General features: G+C 38.4%; 1 protein-coding gene across 1 annotated transcript, besides 1 other annotated feature; it reads left to right on the top strand.

Annotated features, from left to right (window-relative positions):
• The first annotated feature begins 574 nt into the window (after window positions 1-574).
• EIF5A2 (eukaryotic translation initiation factor 5A2) lies at window positions 575-20794 on the top strand. Its single transcript, NM_020390.6, has 5 exons — window positions 575-669; window positions 1371-1570; window positions 2119-2223; window positions 14789-14920; window positions 15793-20794. Exons 2-5 carry the CDS (start codon window positions 1406-1408, stop codon window positions 15850-15852), a joined length of 462 nt encoding a protein of 153 aa, NP_065123.1. The 5' UTR covers window positions 575-669; window positions 1371-1405; the 3' UTR covers window positions 15853-20794.
• Window positions 915-1054: a silencer, noted in NCBI's record as "silent region_14888". NCBI's record gives its function as "represses an Ori minimal core promoter by ATAC-STARR-seq in GM12878 lymphoblastoid cells {active_cell/tissue: GM12878}" and the evidence as "EXISTENCE:reporter gene assay evidence [ECO:0000049][PMID:35858748]".
• Window positions 20795-23164: the final 2370 nt, after the last annotated feature.

Genomic DNA, 23164 nt, shown 5'->3' with positions numbered 1-23164 from the left:
GGGGGGTCCTCAGGACCTGCGGTGCCGAGCTGGGTAATAAAATACTGCACCTGAATTCTTCTTTAAGGACCAGGAGGAGGTTCGAACCCCAAGAAAGGCTGCAAGCTGAACCAGAAGCTCGAACCCAAAGTTCGCTTCACAGCCAGCCACACTGGCACTCGCTGAATCTGCGCGCCTCGCGAGTTCTGACGATCGTCATGTGATAACTGCCACGCACCTGATGGCAGGGGCCATTGGGTGCTTTGCTTGGTTCCCATTAAAGTCGACTGCGACCCGAACGCAACAAACCTAAGAGTTGGAAGGCGCAAGTTCCTCTGCCAGCGAGCTCACCCTCGGCAACCAGACTGCTGAAAGTGCGCTCCACGCCGGAAGTGCACTAATCCGCAGCACGTGGGGTTGCCAGGGCGCTCTTCACGTGACTGGGCGGAGCCTCGGGAATCTGGTAGCCAATGGTAGCCCGAGAGGGCGGTGCCTGTGACGCTCCGGGGCCTATCCCGGAAATAGGGCTGAGTGGGGGCGGGTAAGGGCGGGGAGGCTGGGGTGTGGAAAGTGTGGCGGCCCCGCCCCGTCTCTTGGAACTGCCGCGGCCGCCACCGCCGCTGCCGGCGCCGCTGCTGTAGGGGACCAGCGCGGGTGCGCAGACGAAAGGCGCTCTTTGCCAGCTGAAAGGTGAAGACCTGGGGAAAAGCTGGTGGGGAAAAGCTGGTGGGGATGGGGCCAGAGTGAGGCAGGGCCGGGGAAGGCGCCCAGAACTGAGCGCTGACCGAGAGAAAGAAGGAGAATGGATGGGGGAACAGAGGCGAGCGCGGGACCCGCCGGGGCTCAGGCCCTAGTGGGGCCGGGCCGGGCCGAGCTGAGCCCTGGATGCCGGCAGAACAGGGGGCGCCTGTGCGGCCGCGGCGGCGACGTTGAAGGGTGGAGGGCGGGGTGCGCGCCAGCTAGCAGAGGGCCGGGTGCTGCTGGCCAGGTTCTGTTACCCCGCATCCTTCGCGGGGACCTGCGGCCTGGGCTGGGTCCCCCGCAGTAGGGTTCGGGGCGGCGGCCGAGGGCTGGGCGGCGGGGGAAGGTCGCCGGCTTCTGCGGTGGGGCGATGGGGGCCGCAACCTGCTGTTTCCAGCACGGAGGAGCGCCCAGGGCGGGTGTCCCCACCCTCAGCGAGCTCCTCTGCGACTTCTCATCCCACCTCCCCAAGCAGTAGCTGGAAAAGTTTGTAGAGGCCAGAGTTAGAAAGTGGCCACTAGTCTAGGGTGGGTGTTCCTTACATGCAGAAATAACGGGCCCATGATGCTTGGCACATAACTTGTCCGAAATGAGACGTTTCCCTGCCTACATACCCGTTGTTAAAAAGCAAACACAAACTTTTTGTGTAGTTCCCACGGAAAAACTACCATCTCCCCTGCCCACCATGGCAGACGAAATTGATTTCACTACTGGAGATGCCGGGGCTTCCAGCACTTACCCTATGCAGTGCTCGGCCTTGCGCAAAAACGGCTTCGTGGTGCTCAAAGGACGACCATGCAAAATAGTGGAGATGTCAACTTCCAAAACTGGAAAGCATGGTCATGCCAAGGTAAGTACCCTTGCAGATCAGGCTTTGGCTTCGGCGTTGGGACTTTGATCATTTGTATTCCGTTACAGATCATGAGATTTCTATACTTAAAATTTTGTAATAAGCACTATTTTTTCCTTCCCACAATTACTGGGTAATCAGTTATTACGTTGAATACTTAAAGGTAGCATTCCCTTCTTGGGCCCTTACAATGTTCATTAACTGGGAACTGAAACTTTCCTGAATCCTAGTGACCTATAAGATCTATTTAGTTTACAGATGAGAAAACCTGTTCTAGCAATTCTAAGAAATCTACACTTTATTTTTCTTGTGTAATCTCATAATTGAATCACTGGTCTATATTGGGTCTTGACATGTCGTGATACTGTTTAGTTGTTTACTGCCTCTTAATTGTAAGACCACTACATTTTTTTTTAAGTAAAATTAGATGACCTTGGAAGGAGGAGAAAAAGAATCTGTTGTAATCAGCATTGGTATTGTGCTCTTGTGTGTGTAATGAGTGATATACTTGGCAGAGATTAAACAGGTTTCCTGTTCTCCTCTGTTAGGTTCACCTTGTTGGAATTGATATTTTCACGGGCAAAAAATATGAAGATATTTGTCCTTCTACTCACAACATGGATGTTCCAAATATTAAGAGAAATGATTATCAAGTAAGCACTGATTTTCTTTAGAATGTTGCTTGTTTCTTCAAGGTGCAAATACTTTGTACTATCAGTAATAATTTGACAAAACCCAAGAGTAGTTTTGTAGGTTTTTCTAACCAATTATTAGGCACCAGCTATCTTAGAAATTGGAGAAATAGTGATGTTTAACACATGTACTTTTCTAGGATTATTGCTAGTTTGCTATTTTTTTCACATTCTTGCATTTTTTAAAAAGTCAAATACTTATTAGTGTTCTCAGGCCAAGTGACTGCATATTGCAATTAAGTCCAATGTTTAGTAAAAGTACTATTCTCTCTGTTGTAAAATATTTCTTGTTCTAATTTAAAACATCCCTCCTGGATGTTTTGTTTCTTTTCACTGATCAGACCTGAGACATTCAAGAAACTACTGAAATTCATGTTCCTACCAAGTTTTTGCATTAATGAATGTTAGTCAGAACTTGACATTCTTAAGTAGAGAAATAAGTTGAAAGCCATAAATATAAAGGATAAAGTACCTGGTCACTGAGTATGGTGAAGAAAACACAAAAACTATATAATTGGTTAAATTATACTTAGTGACCATGCTATGACCTTTTGCTAAATTATGTATGTAAATTTCAAGTTTTAGTTCCAGTTATACATTTGGGTAGGTCATATTTAATGATAGCATTTTGTTGTTTGAAGTATTGATGATAACAAAATAATTGACCTTATAGGATGTGGAAGCTCAGATTACTTATAACTAAAGCTTTTCTTGAAAGTCTTCAATTTCTGTATCAAGCATACCATATATCAAACTCATTTCTGCTCATTTTACATAGTGAAAAATACAAAGTTGACACTGGTATTTGTTTTATCCGACTTAAACTGATTTTTTTCTGTACCCTTTGTTGTATTGTATAAATTTCTTTTAATGTTGCTATCAACTGCACTTACGCAATGATTTCCTTTTGCTGTTTGTCCACATGCAAACATACTTTTTTGTGGTTTTAATCTAGTAAACACTTTTATATTTTCACTTTCCTACTTGTCATAAATGTTTTCTAGGTTGCTTTGAAGTCTTTGTAGAAATTTGAATTGTCTTGCAAGTGGGTTTTTTTAACCAGGTAGATCTGGGTTTGGATCTAGTTCTGTCACTTTCTAGTTGGATGATTTTGGACAAGTTATACACCTTTCTGAGCCTGTTTTCTCATCTACAAAATAGTGATAATAGGAGGATTAAATGAGAAAATGTACCCCATTAAGAACTCCATAAGTAGATACGTACCAAAAAGTGCTGTTCTGTTTCCCCCTTTTCCTATGTAAAAATTCTACTTAATCATTTCATTATTGTTGGAGCACCAACTTTGATGTGGTACATAGTAGGTGCTCGAAAAATATTTGTTAAATGTATATGTGATTACTGAATGTGGTAGAGATAGTACAGCAGGCTAAAGTTGAGCGTAGAATGTTGTCAAAATTGGGTTTCTCTTTTCGTCTTAAAGTATGAAAGCTTTGACTATTCAATATTAATTATATTCAGTAATATTCATTCAATATAGAATGCTTTTGCCTGTTGCATGTTTCAGAAAGATGGTATCAGCAGTTCAGATAATTACTATTATACTATGATAAGGTTAGCCAGTCATTGATTGGAGCTCAAGACTTAAAGGAAAAATTTGGTTTGGGTCCTAGACTAGGATGAGGCAAATGAAGTGAGGGAGGCTCTTGCCTCAGGCACAAAATTTTAAATAAAGACAGAACTAGTAACAATGACAAGCCATATAGGAGCTCAAGGCGCAAAGAAAATTAATTCTGATCCCATCTTTATTTAGAATTTTGGTATTTTATCATAGGATTTTTGCATTAATTCTAATTTTTTAAAATATTGCATTAAAATGCCTATCTGATCACTGAGGTTTTTTTGGTGCCTTCTTTAATTTTGCACCCAAGACAAGTGTCTTACTTCACCCTTGTCCCAACCCTTGGTATGTACTCCGCACTGCAAAGTGGATAAGAGGATGATTTAAGCCAGGCAGGCCTGGTCCTAGTCTTACTTTGGCACTTAATAGCTGTGTGACCTTGGTTGACAAGTTACTTAACCTGTTTTGCTTCCATTTCTTTCTTTATAAAGCAGAGACATAAATAATAACGCCTCATGGGATCATTTTGAGGTTTAATTAGTTAATACAACAACGCCTGGCATAGAAAGTATTCAGTATTTCTCTGCTCTTCATTTTCAAGTCAGCATAGAAAAATAACTTATTTCTGTTAATTGTTTAAAAAACTAGTTCTCCAACCTGGGCAATGTGGTGAGACGCCATCTTTACAAAATACAGAAAAAAAAAAATTAGCGAGGCATGGTGGTGTACACAGCTGTAGTCCCAGCAGACCCAGAGGCTGAGGTGGGAGGATCACTTGAGCCTTGGGAGGTCAAGGCTGCACTAAGCTGTGATCACTCCACTGCACTCTAGCCTGGGCGACAGAGTGGGACCCTGTCTCAAAAACAAAAGTTCTGTGGGCCTTTCTATTTATATTTATTGTGCTATGGTGGTCTTCACTTACCTAACCAAGTGCCTTGATTAAATATCTACTCATTATTTGGCGTGTGTAATCCTTTATGTTTGCTGAATTCAATATTTTGAGTGCCAGTTCGGCAGTTGGCTAAAGAGAAATATGTATTCTGTTCATTATGATAATTAAAAAGTAAACAGGAAACAAAACGTATTAATATTTATAGTTTTAATTTTATGTGTTTTAAAATAAGTTCAGAATGAAAGAAAAATTGTCTCCTAACTTCTCTTTCAAGATTAGCTTGGATTAGAATTGCTCATTTACATTACTTCTCCCAAAAGTAGTTATAGATGTCCGGGACTGAGTGATGTTGAAAATTATAAATGCATCCAGATAGACCTTTGGGAATCCCCAAATTCATACAGAAATGCTTATTCAGACTTTAGCACTCTCTGGAATCATATTTCTTTAGAAAGTTCTGTGTTGATATGAACTTCACCACAAGTTAAATGCCGTTTCTGCATTTACTACAGTTTTACCTGTCATTTGAAAACCATTTTCCAGAAGGAAGACTAATTACTATAGACACATAAAGTATATATTGTAGACCTTTGGATTATTAGTGAATTGCCAAAACTGTGACTATTAAATTCTAGTATATTCTTCAAATAAGTAGTATATTATTTGAATGTTTAGATATGTTAATTGAATTCAAATAAGTAGTATATCATTTGAATGCTGAGATATGTTAATTGAATTCAAATAAGTAGTATATTATTTGAATGTTTAGATATGTTCATTGAATTCCTTGAGCTTAAAGTCTTTTTATAATTTTTACCTGTTTCATGGGAATCCTTGTGTTCTCAGATGGAAGCAGTCTTTCTTTGGAAATAGAAAACCTCTAAAGCAATAGGGCCCAATGTTGCGAGGACTAGAAGCAAATATTTGTTACAGGATCATTAAGGGTAATCATGAGAAGAGCCACTAACTTTAGTTCCTAGACCTGTGTATTCTACCTATAGGAAAAATAGCATCATATATTGAAATATATTGTAACCTGCAAAAAACAGCACTCCAGGCCAACAAAGTACCATTCAGCAGGTGCCATATTTGAGTCTTCACTAGGCTGATCCACAGAGGCAAGCTGTTTTGGAATGATAGGGTACGTGAGCCAGCGAATTATCTGGGTGTTGCACTGCCTTGTTACTTTGCCTGTAAAATTAGTTTTCTAGTCAGAAGTGATGCAGTGTGAGATACTATGACAGGAACGAGGCATTCTGTAAATTGAGATGAGATTTTAGCAGAAGCACTGCAGGCAAGAAAGGCAAATCCATATGCAGAGTAAAACTATTGCAATAAGAAAAAATTGCTGCCTGTTTCATGATGGAAGGGGTACAGTCAGGTGGCCAGCTGTTCTGGGAAACATATTAAGACTTCTTGTTCTTCTGTTCTGTGTTCTTCTTCTGCCATATCAAGACTGACCTGTTTCTGTGAGGTTTTCAGTAGTGGCTGTAGTCAGATCAGTCTTGGTGAGAGAAAGCCCGTGTCATTGATCCCACTGAGCAAAGATGAGAGAAGCTACAAAAAGAAGCTGAGGCCGGGCACAGTGGCTCACACCTGTAATCCCAGCACTTTGGGAGGCCAAGGCGGGCAGATCACGAGGTCAAGAGATCGAGACCATCCTGGCCAACATGGTGAAACCCCGTCTCTAATAAATACATAAATTAGTCAGGCGTGGTGGTGCATGCCTGTAATCCCAGCTACTCAGGAGGCTAAGGCAGGAGAATCACTTGAACCTGGGAGGCGGAGGTTGCAGTGAGCTAAGATCCCGCCATTGCACTCCAGCCTGGGCAACAGAGCAAGACTCCATCTCAAAAAAAAAAAAAAAAAAAGGAAGGCTTCTGTACATCTCTACAAAAAATACAAAAATTAGCCGGGTGTGGTGGCAGGCACCTGTAACCCCAGCTACTTGGGAGGCTGAGGCAGGAGAATCGATTGAACCTGGGAGGTGGAAGTTGCAGTGAGCCAAGATCACACCACTGCACTGTAGCCTGGTGACAGAGCAAGACTCGGTCTCAAAAAAAAAAAAAAAAAAAAAAAAGGCTGAATGGCATTCACACATTAGCTCATAATCAGTGCAAATCCACACTTCTGGTTCTGTCTTCTTTCAGGTCCAGTGCTTGAAGTTCTTCCCAAACCCACTTTCAGGTTGACCCCTGAATGGTGTCATCATATAATGCATAACCATCTAGAAACCATTGTGAATATTTTCCTTTCTCAGTCAGCTGGTCATAGGCAACTGTCCATCTAGTCATTGGTATCAGTTGAAGGAGAAGTGTCAGTGTGGTAAGACAAAGTGTTTTCTGAGTCTGAGCCACTTCTTATACAACTTGTTTGTACCTTTAGGTCCTTCTCAAGCTGATCTCATATATGCTACTTCCACTCAATGATGGAGAGCTGCTGTGCGTTCCCAGTTGTGTGGCTTGATGGGTCAGATGATGGGTCAGGTTATGGTGGTGTTATTTGCTTAGGCTGTACAATAATAGTGATAAAGCATTCAGTCTCTCAGATCACTGTATAATAATAGTGATCAAGCATTCAGGGACCAGCAACTCTAAGGAAGTAGCACAAGAGTGCTACACTCTGGGGGAAAAGAAGGAAGAAATAAAAAGGAATAGGTGTTACCTAAACAAGTCTGGTTGTTTTGAAATAGATTGAGAAACAAAATTAAATTCAGAAATTAGAACTAAGAAGGCACCTGTCCAGGCACTGTGGCTCACGCCGGTAATCCCAGCACTTTGGGAGGCCGAGGCAGGCGGATCACGAGATCAGGAGTTCGAGACCACCAGGGAGGTGGAGGTTGCAGTGAGCCAAGATTGCGCCACTGCACTCCAGCCTGGCGACAGAGCCAGACTCCATCTCAAAAAAAAAAAAAAAGAAGGCACCTGTAGGGATAATATACCTTCTCCAGCCTTCTGTTGTATATCAGTAGTACAAATGCAGGCAAAATAGTTTCCCAATAATTCCCCCTTTTCAGTGTTCTTTCCTATTCTGACTACATCTAAGACAGAATCTGCAGTCATTAACTCTCCCCACACTCCCTTTTAGATCATGTTTTGCTTCCTTAGCTTACTGTGCCTCCCAGCACTTAGTGGTTACAGTGCTTATTCTAGAATTCATATATACTATAGCATTTTTTGTTTCACTTTTTATTGTGGAAATTTTCAAAGTATAGTATAATGAATCCTGTGTACCTGTCACTCAGCTTCAACAATTACCAGTGTGATTAATTCTGTCTCTGCAATTTTTTGACAAAGACACTGGATCATTTCTTCTGTAGACTTTCCCACTGTATGGATTTTGCTAATTGCATTTCCTTGTTTTTTAACATGTTCCTCTGTCCCTTGTGTTTCCTGAAACTTGGTAGTAAGATATAGAGTCTTAATCAGATTCAGTTCAGATTTTTATTTTCTTCCTTTCTTTCCTTTAGCAGGACTACTCCATAATGTTCTATGCAATCATTAGATAAATAAGTCTGATTGTTTCTCCTTTTGTGATATTATCAGATATGTGAATACTGCCTCAACATATTAATTGGAGGAGAAAAAATTTATGATCTGTCATTCCTTCATTTGTTTCTCTTAGCCAGAATACTTCTATAAAAAGAAACTTCCCTTCATCAATTTTTGTTTGTTTGTTTGCCTTAAGAGACAGTACCAGTGTCTGTGCGTGTAGCGGGGGTGGGTGTATTTGACTCTTTCCCTTTAAGGTACAGTTTATAAAATAAATTGGTTCCTAGCATCCACTAAAGATGATGAAATACATATTTTTTTCATTATAAACTCGAGCATTTAAACATATTTGTGTTTCAATCCATTGTTGTTAGTGTCCTTATTTATTCTCACATTGTTCCATCTTGGCCAGTGGGAGCTTATTCAAGTTAGCTCTTGAGTCCCTTTGACATGGGCCTAATTTTAATTCTCCTTGATAGCTCCTTGCTTTTTAGTACAACAGCTTCTCCAGGTTCATCTTACACACTTCCTGATCTGGACCTGGAATTATGCAAGGAGCCCTAGAATATTTTAGTAGGAAATAAAAAATACCCCATTCTTTTTTTTTTTTTTTTTTTTTTTGAGATGGAGTCGTGCTCTGCCACCCAGGCTGGAGTGCAGCGGCGTGATCTCAGCTCACTACAACCTCTGCTTCCTGGGTTCAAGTGATGCTCCTGCCTCAGCCTCCCAAGTAGCTGGGACTCCAGGTGCCATCACATCTGGCTAATTTTTGTATTTTTAGTAGAGACGAGGTTTTGCCATATTGGCCAGGTTGGTCTCGGACTCCTGACCTCAAATGATCCGCCTGCCTTGGCCTCCCGAAGTGCTAGGATTACAGGTGTGAGCCACTGCACCCAGCCAAAAATACCACATTCTGATAGCCTTATAACCTTATATACTGCTCAGGAGCTTGGTACGCCTCCACATGCCTAACATCTCTAAAGTTTTTTGACCCTCACCTCTGCTGTCTCCCTGCTTGCTACTAACAATAATTACTTTCTACCAAAAAAAAAAATGTTCAAAAACATCTAAAAGTGATCAAATCAGTAGGTTTGTTTAAAGGTAAAGGACCAGAAGAAGATACTTACAACAATTTCCTTACCATCCCCACCTTCCAACTCTATGGAGTCAGAGAGGCCTTTGAGAGAAGATAGAAACATTTGCACAAAAATATGCTTGGGGACTTGACGATGACACTGTTGGCTTTTTTTTTTTCTTAAAGCTTGCAAATTACAAAGGGGGAAAGTGTAACTTTGGAGTGGAAAAATCTGGCAGATAACTACCTTAGTCAGCATATCAAAGTTGGCATCACTTGTAATGGGACAAATTGACATTTGCCTCCTGATAGGATACTCTGAGGACACATCATTTGTATAGTATTCCTTTCAAAAATGCATTACCTTTATCATGAGGAAACAGTGAGACAAACACAAACTGAGGAATATTCTATAAAACAGTGAACCCCCAGGAGTTTGAGACCAGCCTGGGCAACACAGGAAGACCCTGTATCTACAAAAAATAAAAATTAAAAAAATAAAAAATAAAAAAAATCCCAACAGGCATAGTGGTTGTATGCCTATGGTCCCAGTAACTCGGGAGGCTGAGTTGGGTGGATCACTTGAGCCCTGGAGGTTGAGGCTGCAGTGAGTCATGATCATGCCACCACACTCCTGCCTGCATGAAAGAGCAAGACCTGGTCTCAGAAAAACCAAACCCCCCAAAAAACAAAAAGATACCATGAAAGTTAAAGGGTGGAGGAAACTGTTAGAATTAAGAGACTAAACTGACATGATAGCCAGATAAATACAAGGTATGACCCTGGAGTTAGGGAAATAAGTTGCTATCCAGGACAATACTAGGACAATTGGCAAATTTAAATATGTACTATATATTGAATAATAGGTTATCAATATTAAATTCCCTGATTTTGAAAAATAAATTGTTGTTATCTAAGAGTATATCCTTGTTCTTGAGAAAAATACACTGAAGTTTTAATTGCTGAAAAGTCATGGCTGTTGCACTGAAGTATTTATTGCTGAAGAATCATGATCTTTGGAACTTACTCTCAATAGTTCTGTAAAAATAATAAGAATATATATGATATATATATATATTGGATGTATACATAGAGAAAATAGTGCACATGTGATTAAATGTGAACAATGGATGTATCTAGGTAAAGGATATGGGATTTCATTGCATTATTGCAACTTTTCTATAGAACTTAAGATTTTTTAATAAATAATTCAATTTAAAAGATTGTATTAGTCCATTTTCACACTGCTATAAAGAACTACCTGAAACTGAGTAACTTATAAGAAAAGAGATTTAACTGATTCACAGTTCCACATGGCTGGGGAGGCCTCAGGAAACTTACAATCATGGAGGAAGGTGAAAGGGAAGCAAGGCATGTTTTATATGGCAGCAGGAGAGACAGCAAGCAGGGGGGATCTGTCAAACACTTTTAAGCCATCAGATCTCATGAGAACTCACTTACTATCATGAGAACAGCATGAGGGAAACTGCCCCCATGATCCAATCACCTCCTACCAGGTTCCTCCCTTGACATGTGGGGATTATAATTCAAGATGAGATTTGGGTGAGGACACAGAGCCAAATCATATTATTCTGTCCCTGGCCCCTTCCAAATCTCATGTTCTCACTTTCAAAACACAATCATGCCTTCTCAACAGTCCCTGAAAGTCTTAACTCATTCCAGCATTAACCCAAAAGTCCAAGTCCAAAGTCTCATCTGAAACAAGGGAAGTCCCTTCCGCCTATGAGCCTGTAAAATGAAAAGCAAGTCAGTTACTTCCTAGAAACAATGAGGATACAGGCATTGGGTAAATACTGTTATTTCAAATGGGAGAAATTGGCCAAAACAAAGGAGCTACAGGTCCCATACAAGTCCGAAACCTAGCAGGGTAGCCATTCAGTCTTAAAGCTCCAAAATAATCTCCTTTGCCTCCATGTCTTACATCCAGGGCACACTGATCCAAAAGGTAGGCTCCCAAGGTCTTGGGCAGCTCCACCCCTGTGGCTCTACAGGGTACAGCCTCTGCAGCTGCTTTCACTGGTTGGTATTGAGTGCCTGTGGCTTTTCCAGGCACATGGTACACCATTCTGGAATCTAGAAGATGGTGACCCCCCTTCTCACAGCTCCACTAGGCAGTGTCCCAGTGGGGACTCTGTGTGGGGGATCTAACCTGACATTTCCCTTCCACACTGCCCTAGCAGAGGTTCTCCATGAGGGCTCTGCCCCTGCAGCAGACTTCTGCTTGGACCTCCAGGCATTTCATACATCCTCTGAAATCTAGGCGGAGGCTCCCAAACCTCAACTCTTGCCTTCTGTGTACCTGCAGGCCCAACACCACATGGAAGCCACCAAGGATTAGGGCTTACACTCTCTGAAGCAACAGCCCAAGCTGTACCTTGACCCCTTTTAGCCACAGCTGGAGCTGGAGTGGCTGGGACACAGGGCACCAAGTCCCGAGGCTATACAGAGCAGCAGGGCTCTGGGCCTGGCCCATGAAACCATTTTTCCCTCCTAGGCCTCTGGACCTGTGTTGGGAGGGGATGCCATGAAGATATCTGGAATGCCCTGGAGACATTTTCCCCATTGTCTTGGCTATTAATATTCAGCTCCTTGTAACTTATGCAAATTTCTGCAGCTGGCTTGAATTTCTTCCCAGAAAATGGGTTTTTCTTTTCTACTACATGGTCAGGATGTACATTTTTCAAACTTCTATGCTATGCTTCCCTTTTAAACATGAGCTCCAGTTTCAGATCATCTCTTCATGAATGCATATGACTGTACACTTTCAAAAAAAGCCAGGTTACCTCTTGCACACTTTGCTGCTTAGAAATTTCTTATGCCAGGTAACCTAAATCATCTCTCTCAAGTTCATAGTTCCACAGATCTCTAGGGCAGGGCAAAATGCTGCCAGTCTCTTTGCTAAAGCACGGCAGGAGTGACCTTTGTTCCAGTTCCCAGTGAGTTCCTCATCTCCATCTGAAACCACCTCAGCCTGGACTTCACTGTCCATATCATTGTCAGCATTTTGTTCAAATCCATTCAACAAGTCTCTAGGAAGTTTCAAATTCTCCCTCATCTTTCTTTCTTCTGAGCCCTCTAAACTGTTGCAGTCTCTGCCTGTTACCCAGTTCCAAAGTTGTTTCCTTATTTTCAGGCATCTTTATAGCAGTGGCCCAAACTCCTGGTACCAATTTTCTGTATTAGTCCTTTTTCACACTGCTATAAAGAACTACCTGAGACTGGGTAATTTATAAAGAAAAGAAATTTAATTGAGTCACAGTTCCACATGGCTATGGAGGCCTCAGGAACCACGGCAGAAGGCGAAGGGGAAGCAAGGCACATCTTACATGGCAGCAGGAGATACAGCAAGTGAGGGGGGAACTGCTAAACACTTTGAAGAGAACTCACTCACTATCATGACAACAGCATTGCGGAGACTGACCCCATGATCCAATTGCGTCCCACCAGCTCCCTCCCTCGACATGTGGGGATTACAATTCAAGATGAGATTTGGGTGGGGACACAGAGCCAAACCATATCAAAGATTAAATAATTCATTCTCATTATTTTTGTTTTTCGTAGCTTAGTTTTATTTTTGAAAACTAATTGTATTTAATATAGCAATTTATCTTAATGTTTAATGTTTGTAAATGCATTGTTTTACTAGATGTTTTATATATTTGTACATCTGAAATGCTTTATATATTTCATTCCACAGTTTATGATTCTTAACTCTTAAAAAATAAAATAGCTCCATTACATACATCATTTTCAAAATATCAGTATTATTATTTGGCTTCTGTGTTTCAGTCACTAGTGGCACAGTACGAACATTTAACTCTTGAAATAGACAAGCTGTGCTTTAGGGAATTACTAAAAGAACAGAAATCAGAAAGATTTGTCTTGGAATGTTGTGGTTGTTTAAAAATTACACTTCAAGCTAGGTGCATTGGTGCACACCTATAGTCCCAGCTCCTTGGAAGGCTAAAGCAGAGGCTCACTTGACCCCAGGAGTTCGAGGCCAGCCTAGGCAATATAATGAGACGCCCATCTTTAAAAATATATATATTTTTTAAAAAGTTACACTTCTACCTCAACCTCCTTGCTCCCACTTCTCTACCAGCCACCTCACAAATATTTGAGGGTCTAAGAGGTTAGTTAAAAGTCTTTGTTGTAGCTCTGTAGGATTTCTTATTTTTGAGATTTCTAGACATATAAAAACTCAAATTTCCTGTGATAGATGGAGTTTCTGTGGAGAGCCATAGGCAGTTTTGGTAGATGGTGTATGTGGAGGAGAGCAATCCCAACGATATGCCTGGGTTATATCATAGTGGTTACAGGGGTTCAAGGACCATTGTCTTTGACTCCTTTTGTAGATATTAGTAGCTGGTATTCTGGATGGTAGCCTTTTATAAAACATGTTAGGATTCGAGGCATACTAATAGTGTACATGCTTTTATTAATAGAATAAATGAGTGGAGGTTGGTTGTTTACTCATTCCTGTAGTAAAAGAAGTTCAGTGGTATCAAAACCGTGCTTTTTTGCAGGTTGGGTTGACAACTGGGTTTTTTTTTTTCACTAATGTTATCCATACACTAGTGGATTTTGTTGTTGTTGTTGTTGTTGACTGAAGACCAAAAGTTTTCCACTTAATTTTGTTCATACTCAAATTAGAAAATGCATTGTTTGTAATAGCAAAAATAACTTTTATGCCCAGTAATGTGAAATTGGTTAAATCAGTAATAGTATGTCCATGCAGATATGTGGTAGTTAACTAAGGTAGGTTTACATTTTCTGCTTAGAAAGTATTTATAAGACATATTATTAAGTCAAAACAGCTCACTGTAAAGTACTTATAATATCTCTTTTTTTTTTTTTTTTTTTTTTGAGACAGAGTCTCGCTCTGTCGCCCAGGCTGGAGTGCAGGGGCACGATCTTGGCTCACCGCAAGCTCCACCTCCTGGGTTCACGCCATTCTCCTGCCTCAGCCTCCCAAGTAGATGGGACTACAGGTGTCTGCCACCACACCTGGCTAATTTTTTGTATTTTTAGTAGAGATGGGGTTTCACCGTGTTAGCCAGGATGGTCTCAATCTCCTGACCTCATGATCCGCCCGCCTCGGCCTCCCAAAGTGCTGGGATTACAGGCGTGAGCCACCGCACTTGGCCCAATATCCCATTTTGATTAAAAAAAAAAACAAAACAGCAACTATATTTATTTTGTGAACATAAATGGAATACACTATAAAGAAACCTAAACTGTTTAACAAGGCAGAGATTGGGTATGGGAAGTACCGGGAGGAGTAAACTTATATTTCCATTCTGTACATATTTTATATTTTTTATATTTTTAGCATTTTAAATACCAAGAATATTAATATATTACTGTATACTTATATGAATTAATATCAATTGCAATTTAACTATGTAAGCATTACACAGAAGTGGATATAATCTAATCAGCACAAATGATATAATTTCTTCTAATAGCTGATATGCATTCAAGATGGTTACCTTTCCCTGCTGACAGAAACTGGTGAAGTTCGTGAGGATCTTAAACTGCCAGAAGGTGAACTAGGCAAAGAAATAGAGGGAAAATACAATGCAGGTGAAGATGTACAGGTAAAGACTTAGAGAAGGATTATTTTTGAAAACCATTTTATAAAAACTTTGACCTCAACTAGTTAACATAAAATACTACATATGGAATGTGGTTTAAAAATACTGCTAAAATGTTGAAAATGATCTCTCAGGCAGGTTTTCCATAAAACCCTTAGAGACTCATTATCAAAGAAAGTATCAAAGTTCATTTTTGCTACATCAGCATTACTCTCAAACCCAAATTTGTTTTGAAGCTCTGCACCTGACTTTTTTTTTTTTTTTGAGACGGAGTCTCCCTCTGTCACCCAGGCTGGAGTGCAGTGGCGTGATCTCGGCTCATTGCAACCTCCGCGTCCCAGGTTCAAGCGATTCTCCCCTCAGCCTCCTGAGTAGCTGGGATTGCAGGCGCGTGCCACCACATCTGGCTAATTTTTGTATTTTTAGTAAAGATTGGGTTTCAGCATGTTGGCCAAGCTGGTTTTGAACTCCTGACCTCAGGTGATCCCCCAACCTTGGCCTCCCAAAAGTGCTGGGATTACAGGCCTGAGCAAGGCGCCCAGCCCTGAGCTATTCTTACAGGTAAGAAATGATGCTAGTGGAATGTTAAAGAGTGAAGGAGATTTACTGTCTTCGTTACAACTTTCAGAAATGTAACGGGTAGTAAGTGTTCAAACATTTATAGTTATTTTTCCTGTTCCCTGGAAGTTGTCTTACAAACCACTCTGAGAAATTCTGCTTTAGAAAACTGTAAAGAAAGTAGCTTGTTTTGGAATACCCCTTTCAGAAGTCCATATGTACAAAATATCCACAAATATACAATATATGAGGAACTAATTATATCTTCTATATGTATTGTCTTCTGAATAACGTTTTGCCTGCTTTTTTCCTTCTAGGTGTCTGTCATGTGTGCAATGAGTGAAGAATATGCTGTAGCCATAAAACCCTGCAAATAAACGGAAACATCAGGCATGAACACTGTTTATGTCTGAATCAACTGCAGATCTAATTTGGTTCTAAGTTGTCACCAAAGCTATAGCCTTCATAAGCAACCTCATTTCTTTTTTTAATTGTTTTCAGATTGTGCTGGGTTAGTTTTGCAAGCAATTGATAATTTTTAAAAAATTATCAATATGTATAATTTTTTTTGAATTTTGTAGATATGTTTCCTATAATATTCCTGTGGTTTTCAGTATGTCAGTCCAAGAAACAAACAAGATAGCTTCAGCAGATGTGATTTGTCTGAGCAAATCATTCCTGTGTTTTAGTTAGATGATAAACCAGGGTTTTAAATCAAACAATGTAGCATAAAGTGGTATTGAAGTACCATATTTAAGTTGAACTGCTCTGCATTAATTACAGATTTAATATAAAATGAACTGATTATATATTGGAATTGTTGCACTTTCAGCCTGTGTAGGGCAAACACAAATCCTTAAACAAAAATCATGTTATCAAAAACTGTCAGTTATTTTGGTGGCCACATGCAACCATGTGATTACTTTGGTCATACTATTTACCAAATTGTTGGCAAACTTGATGTAACCTTATATGGTGGTTTTAGTCCCTTCTTATGGTTGGCAGAAGGGCACTGAACTGTTGGGTGAAAGTTAGTTAGCAAGTAAGATTATAAGGAAGACACAAAAGACAGTGGCAAAGAGGGTTGATTAAATCTATAAGTTTTTATGTGAGGACTTTGTAAGTCAGCATAAAAATGAAAAGTTGTTTCTCAGTTGTTTTTGCTTTTAACTTTGCCCCCAACGTTTAAAGGGAGTGATCTGCTTTACATGATACTATGCAATGCTTGTTTTCCAACTATGTTGAATAAATAGTAATATTTATCAGTAAATACTCCTTTCCAACTTCCTTTTTTTTTTTTTTTTTTTTGAGACTGAGTCTCACTCCATCAGCCAGGCTGGAGTGCAGTGGTGCAATCTCGGCTCACTGCAACCTCTGCCTCCCGAGTTCAAGCAATTCTCCTGCCTCAGCCTCCCAAGTAGCTGGGACTACAGGTGCATGCCACCACGCCCAGCTACTTTTTTGTGTATTTTAGTAGAGATGGGGTTTCACCATGTTGTCTAGGCTGGTCTTGAACTCCTGACCTCAGGTGATCCACCTGCCTCAGCCTCCCAAAGTGCTGGGATTACAGGCATGAGCCACCACACCCAGCCCCTTTCCAACCATTTCTAAGTAGATTTTTTGACATTAATGTATTTATTAAACAAAAACTGAGAATTCCTTAAATTGATTTGGAATTTTTGTTAATTTTATGTCCTTTTTTTCCTAAAGTGAATTAAAGTGAATCATGGAAGCAGCATTACTTTATATGAATATTATTATTTAAGTTAAGTTATTTTAAGTATATGCATTTTTTCTGATTGTTGTGTGACTTAATTCAGTTGCTGGTGTGAACTATAACTAGCAAATAATTCTATAAACTGAATTATTTTAAAAGGTATTTTAGGTGACACCACTGCATTTCTATTTCATCTTTTGAGTCATATGTATATTATTTCCAGAATTTTAGACATTATTACAGGGTTTGTGAGGACCTTTGACTCAGTGACAATCATCATATTGGAGCAAAACATAGAACAAAATCACTATCTCAGAAATACCTTAATTCTCTAAGACTGGCTCTTAGACCTCTCCCATCATGCCTTGACCTCTAAAAAGCCCTTTGTTCCTATCTTCTAAAGGAAAGTATATCATATATGATGATGTAACTGATCTAATCAGTGACTGGAAATAGCATTAGTAACAGAAGATCCCAAGTTTTAGTTGCTTAATTTGTACACACTTTTAAATATTGTCTTAGCCTCGGCAAACCAATTTGGGGAAGAAGCAAGATACTTTAAGAGAAATACAAAGGAAATTTCTAAAGCACAAGAAATAGTGAGGTAGTAGTTAGTCGTCTTTCCTACAACATTTTAGCTTTTGCCCATCTAAAGCACAATTAAAATTAGGCTACATTCTTTCCAGTATTCTATTTAAGTACCTACTACATACTGCTCTAGTTTCTTAGTACTCTGTAATGTGTATCTTAATTGCTACTGGTTGGCATTGTAACTCATAGGAATTCCAGAAAATTATTAATCCGTGCTGCTTGCAGTTCATTCATATGGCCCCTCTTAACCATGCTGGTGTTATGATTCAGTATTAACTCTCAATTAGCATGCCCCTGTTCTTCCTAACTTGTAAAATTTCACATAAATATATTTTCAATTGTGTACAAATTAAGGGTGTACAAATTATAATAATGCATCTCTATCTTCATACTTTGAATGGCAAACGCTATTTATGCATAAATATTTTCATTTTAAGTAATATATGAAGTGTAAATACTCGATATATAAGTATAGATTTTAAAGATATGGGACTTTATTTTCACATAAGTCAATAGATGTTTCTCTAGAACAAAATATTTAGTAAAGCTTTATAAATTATATTAAAAGGAAGCGGGGAACATGTATTTTTTAACATAGAACAGAAGTGACTTCATTCTTTTTAGACATCAGAAATGTTAAAGTTGATTCCCAATATTTGTTGTACTTTTTTGTAGCAAATGTTAAAAATCACGAGTTACCATGTATAGAATGTGGACTGTCATGTTGATATCATTGTACAGTGATAAGCCATTTTTATCTGTATACATTTCACCAATTTATTAACAGGTTGAATATTTGTTTCTTTTTAGAACATTTTATTTATACTGTGAAGACTTTGTTATACCTTATTTGCTACAACATAGATCATATCATTGCTACTTTGACTTAGCATTTGCATCATAAACATAATTATGATGTTTTTTTCATGCTCCCTTCCAGGGGCTCAGTCACTTGAAGAAACTGTTGCTAACCAAGCTCTTGACTCTGTTTCCCTTAATGATACAAGTCTCTGTACCAGCGCTTTATGTTAATTACCAAAACTCTCCTGCATCAGAGCATGATATCTATAATAGGAGATACTGCAATAAAATGATTAGGCTGTAAAATTTGGAGACACAATTTTTCATTACAATGCAATTTGCATGTGCACATGTGCGCACATAACTTTATATGTTAGTTCTTTTTTCCAAACTCCCAACTCTTAAAAGTATTGTAGTCTGTTGGTGCCTCAACTGTTGGTAACTTTTTTTTTTTAAATTTACAACTTTCCACAACTTGTTTTTGTACTTTAAGGTTTCTCAATTAGAATATTTCTAGTTGAGCTGTAATTTGAATGCATTGTTCTCAGGGCTATTTGTGCTAAAAGCTGAAATTTCATTATTTTAAAGCTAATTGCCTGAAAATATATTGGCAGAATTTTCCCAAATTGTAATAACTGTGATACATGCATATAAAAAAATCCTTAATGTCAACACACTTAAACTACATGCTAAATAGTCAAGAAAAAAATGGAAACAGTAGCATCCATACTGGAATCTTGCCATATTTTTTTCATTTTAGAATAGATTTTGGCAGTCTCATCTTAGAATCCTATCCTTAGGATACATCTGAAAGCATTCCTTTGGCATGGACCCCAGAGATAGTTTTGGAGCCAGGCATTGATGTAGAGGTTCACCAAACATATTTAGGGATAATAGATAAATTCATAATGCTTTTTTGGGTACACTGAAATGTTTACATACTGAATTCTGTAATATGAACTAGGAACGCATTTACTATGAGAAAATATGGCTCTTAAGCAGTGTAAGAGTGAAAATATAAGCATATTTCCATTAACAGTATATTGTACTGATCAGCAGCTCTCATTTTAACATCAGTTAGGCATAATATTTCATAGTTTTCAAGCCTTTTTTTTCTGCTAACATTCAGACAAGTAACAGGCAACAAAGATTTAAGAAAAATTTATGGTGGAAAACCTTAAAAATTGAGACAATTCAATCTATTTAATCTATTAAATTTTTTCTCTGAATTGGGTATATGGCATCATTATTTGATTTTAGCAGGGAACATTTGGATTTAGCTTATGAAACACAGATGTTCTATGGGAACATGGCTTGAAGCCAATATGTAATTTAATGTTTTTCCATTAAACAAACATCTGAACACCAACTTAGCTACCAAGTGAGGTCAAGTGCCTGAAAAGTACTGTATACATCTAATAAGCATGTTTTCCTTATGTAAAAGATGCACTTTATGGCAATGCATACCAGGCTTTCACCTGCTAGAAACATACTTGTTGCCAACTTTGCCATCTACCACTATTCTCCTCCTTAGAACAGGTAGAAACCTATTTTACAAAAAAAAAAAAAAAAAAAAAAAGACAGGTTATTGTATTTATATGAAGTCCCTAAAACTGTTTCTTGGTATTGATAGACTTAAGTTTATCTTAGTTCAAGATTGCACTTTTTAAAAAACTCTGGACTATTTTCAGCAATGACCGAACAGCTTGTCACACATCATAGTTGTGATCTTTTTTGAGGAGTTATTTATTGTGGTTAATATCTACTATAAATAAGCATTCTTGTGCTTGTTACAAAGCATAATGCAAATTACTAGTTCTATACTAGTATAATGAAAATGACTAGTTCTATACTGTTATGTACTTTTGTCTTCCTCCCCAAAAAGGAAACAGTTTAGCATTGTCTAAATTCAGTGGCACTTTTTTAGTAATACATTTTTTTTTCTTAGATACAGGAGAACTATTGCTTTTACCTGCAGAAACTCAAATGTTTTCGCTAAAACTTTAAAATTCTAAAATACGTAGTATGGGTATTACTAATTGTACATTTTACATTTCAAAAATAGTTAAAATTCAAATGTTAAGTCTTTGACTTAAAAAACCTTTAAATATAGATAATACCTTAACAATTATAACTTTGTGATATTATTAAAATATATTTGTCTGTTAACTTCATCAGTTGTATTAAATAAAAATAGTTAACAGCTTGCACTATTCTTGTACATATACATCTTTAAAACAATTTCATACCCAAAAATTGTATGACTTAAGCGTATGTCACTTTAAAAGAAAATCTAACTTGTTTTTATTGAGTACTTTTATATTCTAGGTCCTTACGTAGTGCCCTCGCATTATGACTGGGACTATTAATTTCTAAATTTTAGTTTGAGGTTTAGGTACAATTTTATTTTTAAATGTTTAATGTTTTTTAAACTATATAAAATAGTCACTTGGTTCAAAATTCAGCAGGTACAAAAGACTAAAGACATTTTCCCCTCTTCATCCCCTTCCTATGTGTCCTTCCAGAGATATTTAATGTAGGAGAGGGCAATGCTACTTCCCTCACCCCTGATTTCCCAGGGTGTGAGGTGTTTCTTTCCTACAAGCTGGGGTTGCTTTTCCCTTTCCACAACATGAGTGGTGTGATAATTCCCTGAAGCAAACGCTTCACCCTTTTGCCAATCCTCACCATGTCTAATCCACACCAACTGGACATGTTCATTTCTAGGTGGCTCGGTGGTTTCTTCCTTATACACTGTACCATTCTAGAACATCCCTCTTGCTCCCCAACAGGTGAGCCATGCCAGAGATACCATGGCAGTTGTCACCTTGTATCTATGATCATTACAAATATCCATAATCTACCAGATCCACAACGCAAAGTTGGGCAGTAAAAGAAGTACCAGTTAAAGTCTTCTAGCCTGTATCCCCACTCCTTTTTGCCACTTGCAAATTCGGTAGCCCAGTTACCCAGAGGGAGGCATAGGAGGGAAAACGAAGACTGAAAAGGGCTAATATGAGTTTTGTCTCTTACAATTTATCTGCATCTTATCCTTCCCCCACCCCCCATCATTAAATCATTAAACATTCTATCCAAATAGAATGCCCTTCTGTGGAACTGCATATTTGGAAACCATACTGCCTGTTTAACTTATGCACTCCACTGGGAACTTACAGTATCTGTTTCCCACAATACTTGCAGTCATATCAGTTACAACCGCTGGGTGTGTATTGGTTCAAAAGGACCTACCTACAAGGTTATATCAATCCATTGTCCAATTTGAGAGATTTTTTCTGAATCCAGTTAAAATAATTTTTGGCTACACCTGGGGACACTTCCCAGGACAACAATGACTTGTAGTCTAGTGCCCAAGAAAGCCAAAAAGGCCCGGCAACCTTGGTTGCCACCAGATCCCCAACAGACAGATTCTAAGGGAGAAGAGAAGTTCATCAACTAACACTCACAGTGTGTCTGCATTTTTCCTTCATAATTATGTGAGTTTCACTTAATGGGGCTGTCACTGTAGCTCATTTTAATTGCTATAAATCAATGAGGTAAATCTTTTGCATATATATCAAATATTACCATCCTGATGTTAGAGATTTTCTTTCCAAGGCAAATAGAACTTTCACCAAAAAAAAAGGATACTTAGAGCACAAAGAAAATAGCAGTAGCTTCTATAAAGCAGAAATATTAAAAACACTGTTACCAGTCCCAAGTGAAATTAAAAACAAAACTAGAAAATAAAAAGGTCTTTCTAACTAGCAATTTAAAACCTATTATGCAGGGTACAATGAAAGGGGAAATACAAAAATTAAGGAATTCCTGAAAGATAATGAAAATACTATATATCAGAATCCATGTAAAAGTATTATCAGGAAAATTCATTGCCCTACCATCTATATAAATAAAAATGACAGAATGAACATAAATAGTAAATCAAACAGCTAGAAAAATAAACCAAAAGGAAGCACACAGGAGGAAGTAACAATAACAAAAGCAGAAATTAATAAATAAGAAAAATAGCAAATAGATTAAAATACTAGCTCTTTGAAAAATTAACAAAATAGATCGATCATTAGCTATTATTTAATAAAGCACAAATATAAAAAATGAGAAATGACAAGGAATAACTAATGCAGAGGAAATAAAAATAAAAACTGCAAATCTCTGCACATAAATTTGAAAACCTAGATGATATAGTTTCTTAGGAAAATGTGTTTATTAAAATTGACCTCAATAAAGATGGAAAGCTTAAACAGTAATTTTAATAGAACTACAGAAAGTTGTCAAGAAACTGTCCCACAAAGAAACCAAGCTGGGGTTGCTGTTCCCACAAAGAAACGAACCAAACAAAACCAGGTCCAAATGGTTTCACAGGAGAATGTTACCAAACTTTTAGAGACCATATGGTCCTAACGTTATGTACAATGTTTCAGAACAGGGAAAATAAACAATCTAAATTCTTTTTAGGAAGCAAACATTGATACTAAACCTGTTAAAAATAACAAAAAATATATTAAGGCAAAAATCCTAATATAATACTAGTTTTTAGACTCAAACACCACGTGAAGAAAGTA

Source organism: Homo sapiens, chromosome 3 (assembly GCF_000001405.40).
Source record: "Homo sapiens chromosome 3, GRCh38.p14 Primary Assembly".
Classification (NCBI taxonomy): domain Eukaryota; kingdom Metazoa; phylum Chordata; class Mammalia; order Primates; family Hominidae; genus Homo; species Homo sapiens.
The sequence above is the reverse complement of the archived record's forward strand: the minus strand, read 5'-3'. Positions and strand labels throughout refer to the sequence as shown.

Coding starts and splice junctions, on each gene's coding strand:
- EIF5A2 (NM_020390.6), top strand. CDS start 1,406: ATGGCAGACGAAATTGATTTCACTACTGGAGATGCCGGGGCTTCCAGC. Junction 2,224..14,788: donor TTAAGAGAAATGATTATCAA/GTAAGCACTGAT, acceptor TTCTTCTAATAG/CTGATATGCATTCAAGATGG. Junction 14,921..15,792: donor ATGCAGGTGAAGATGTACAG/GTAAAGACTTAG, acceptor TTTTCCTTCTAG/GTGTCTGTCATGTGTGCAAT.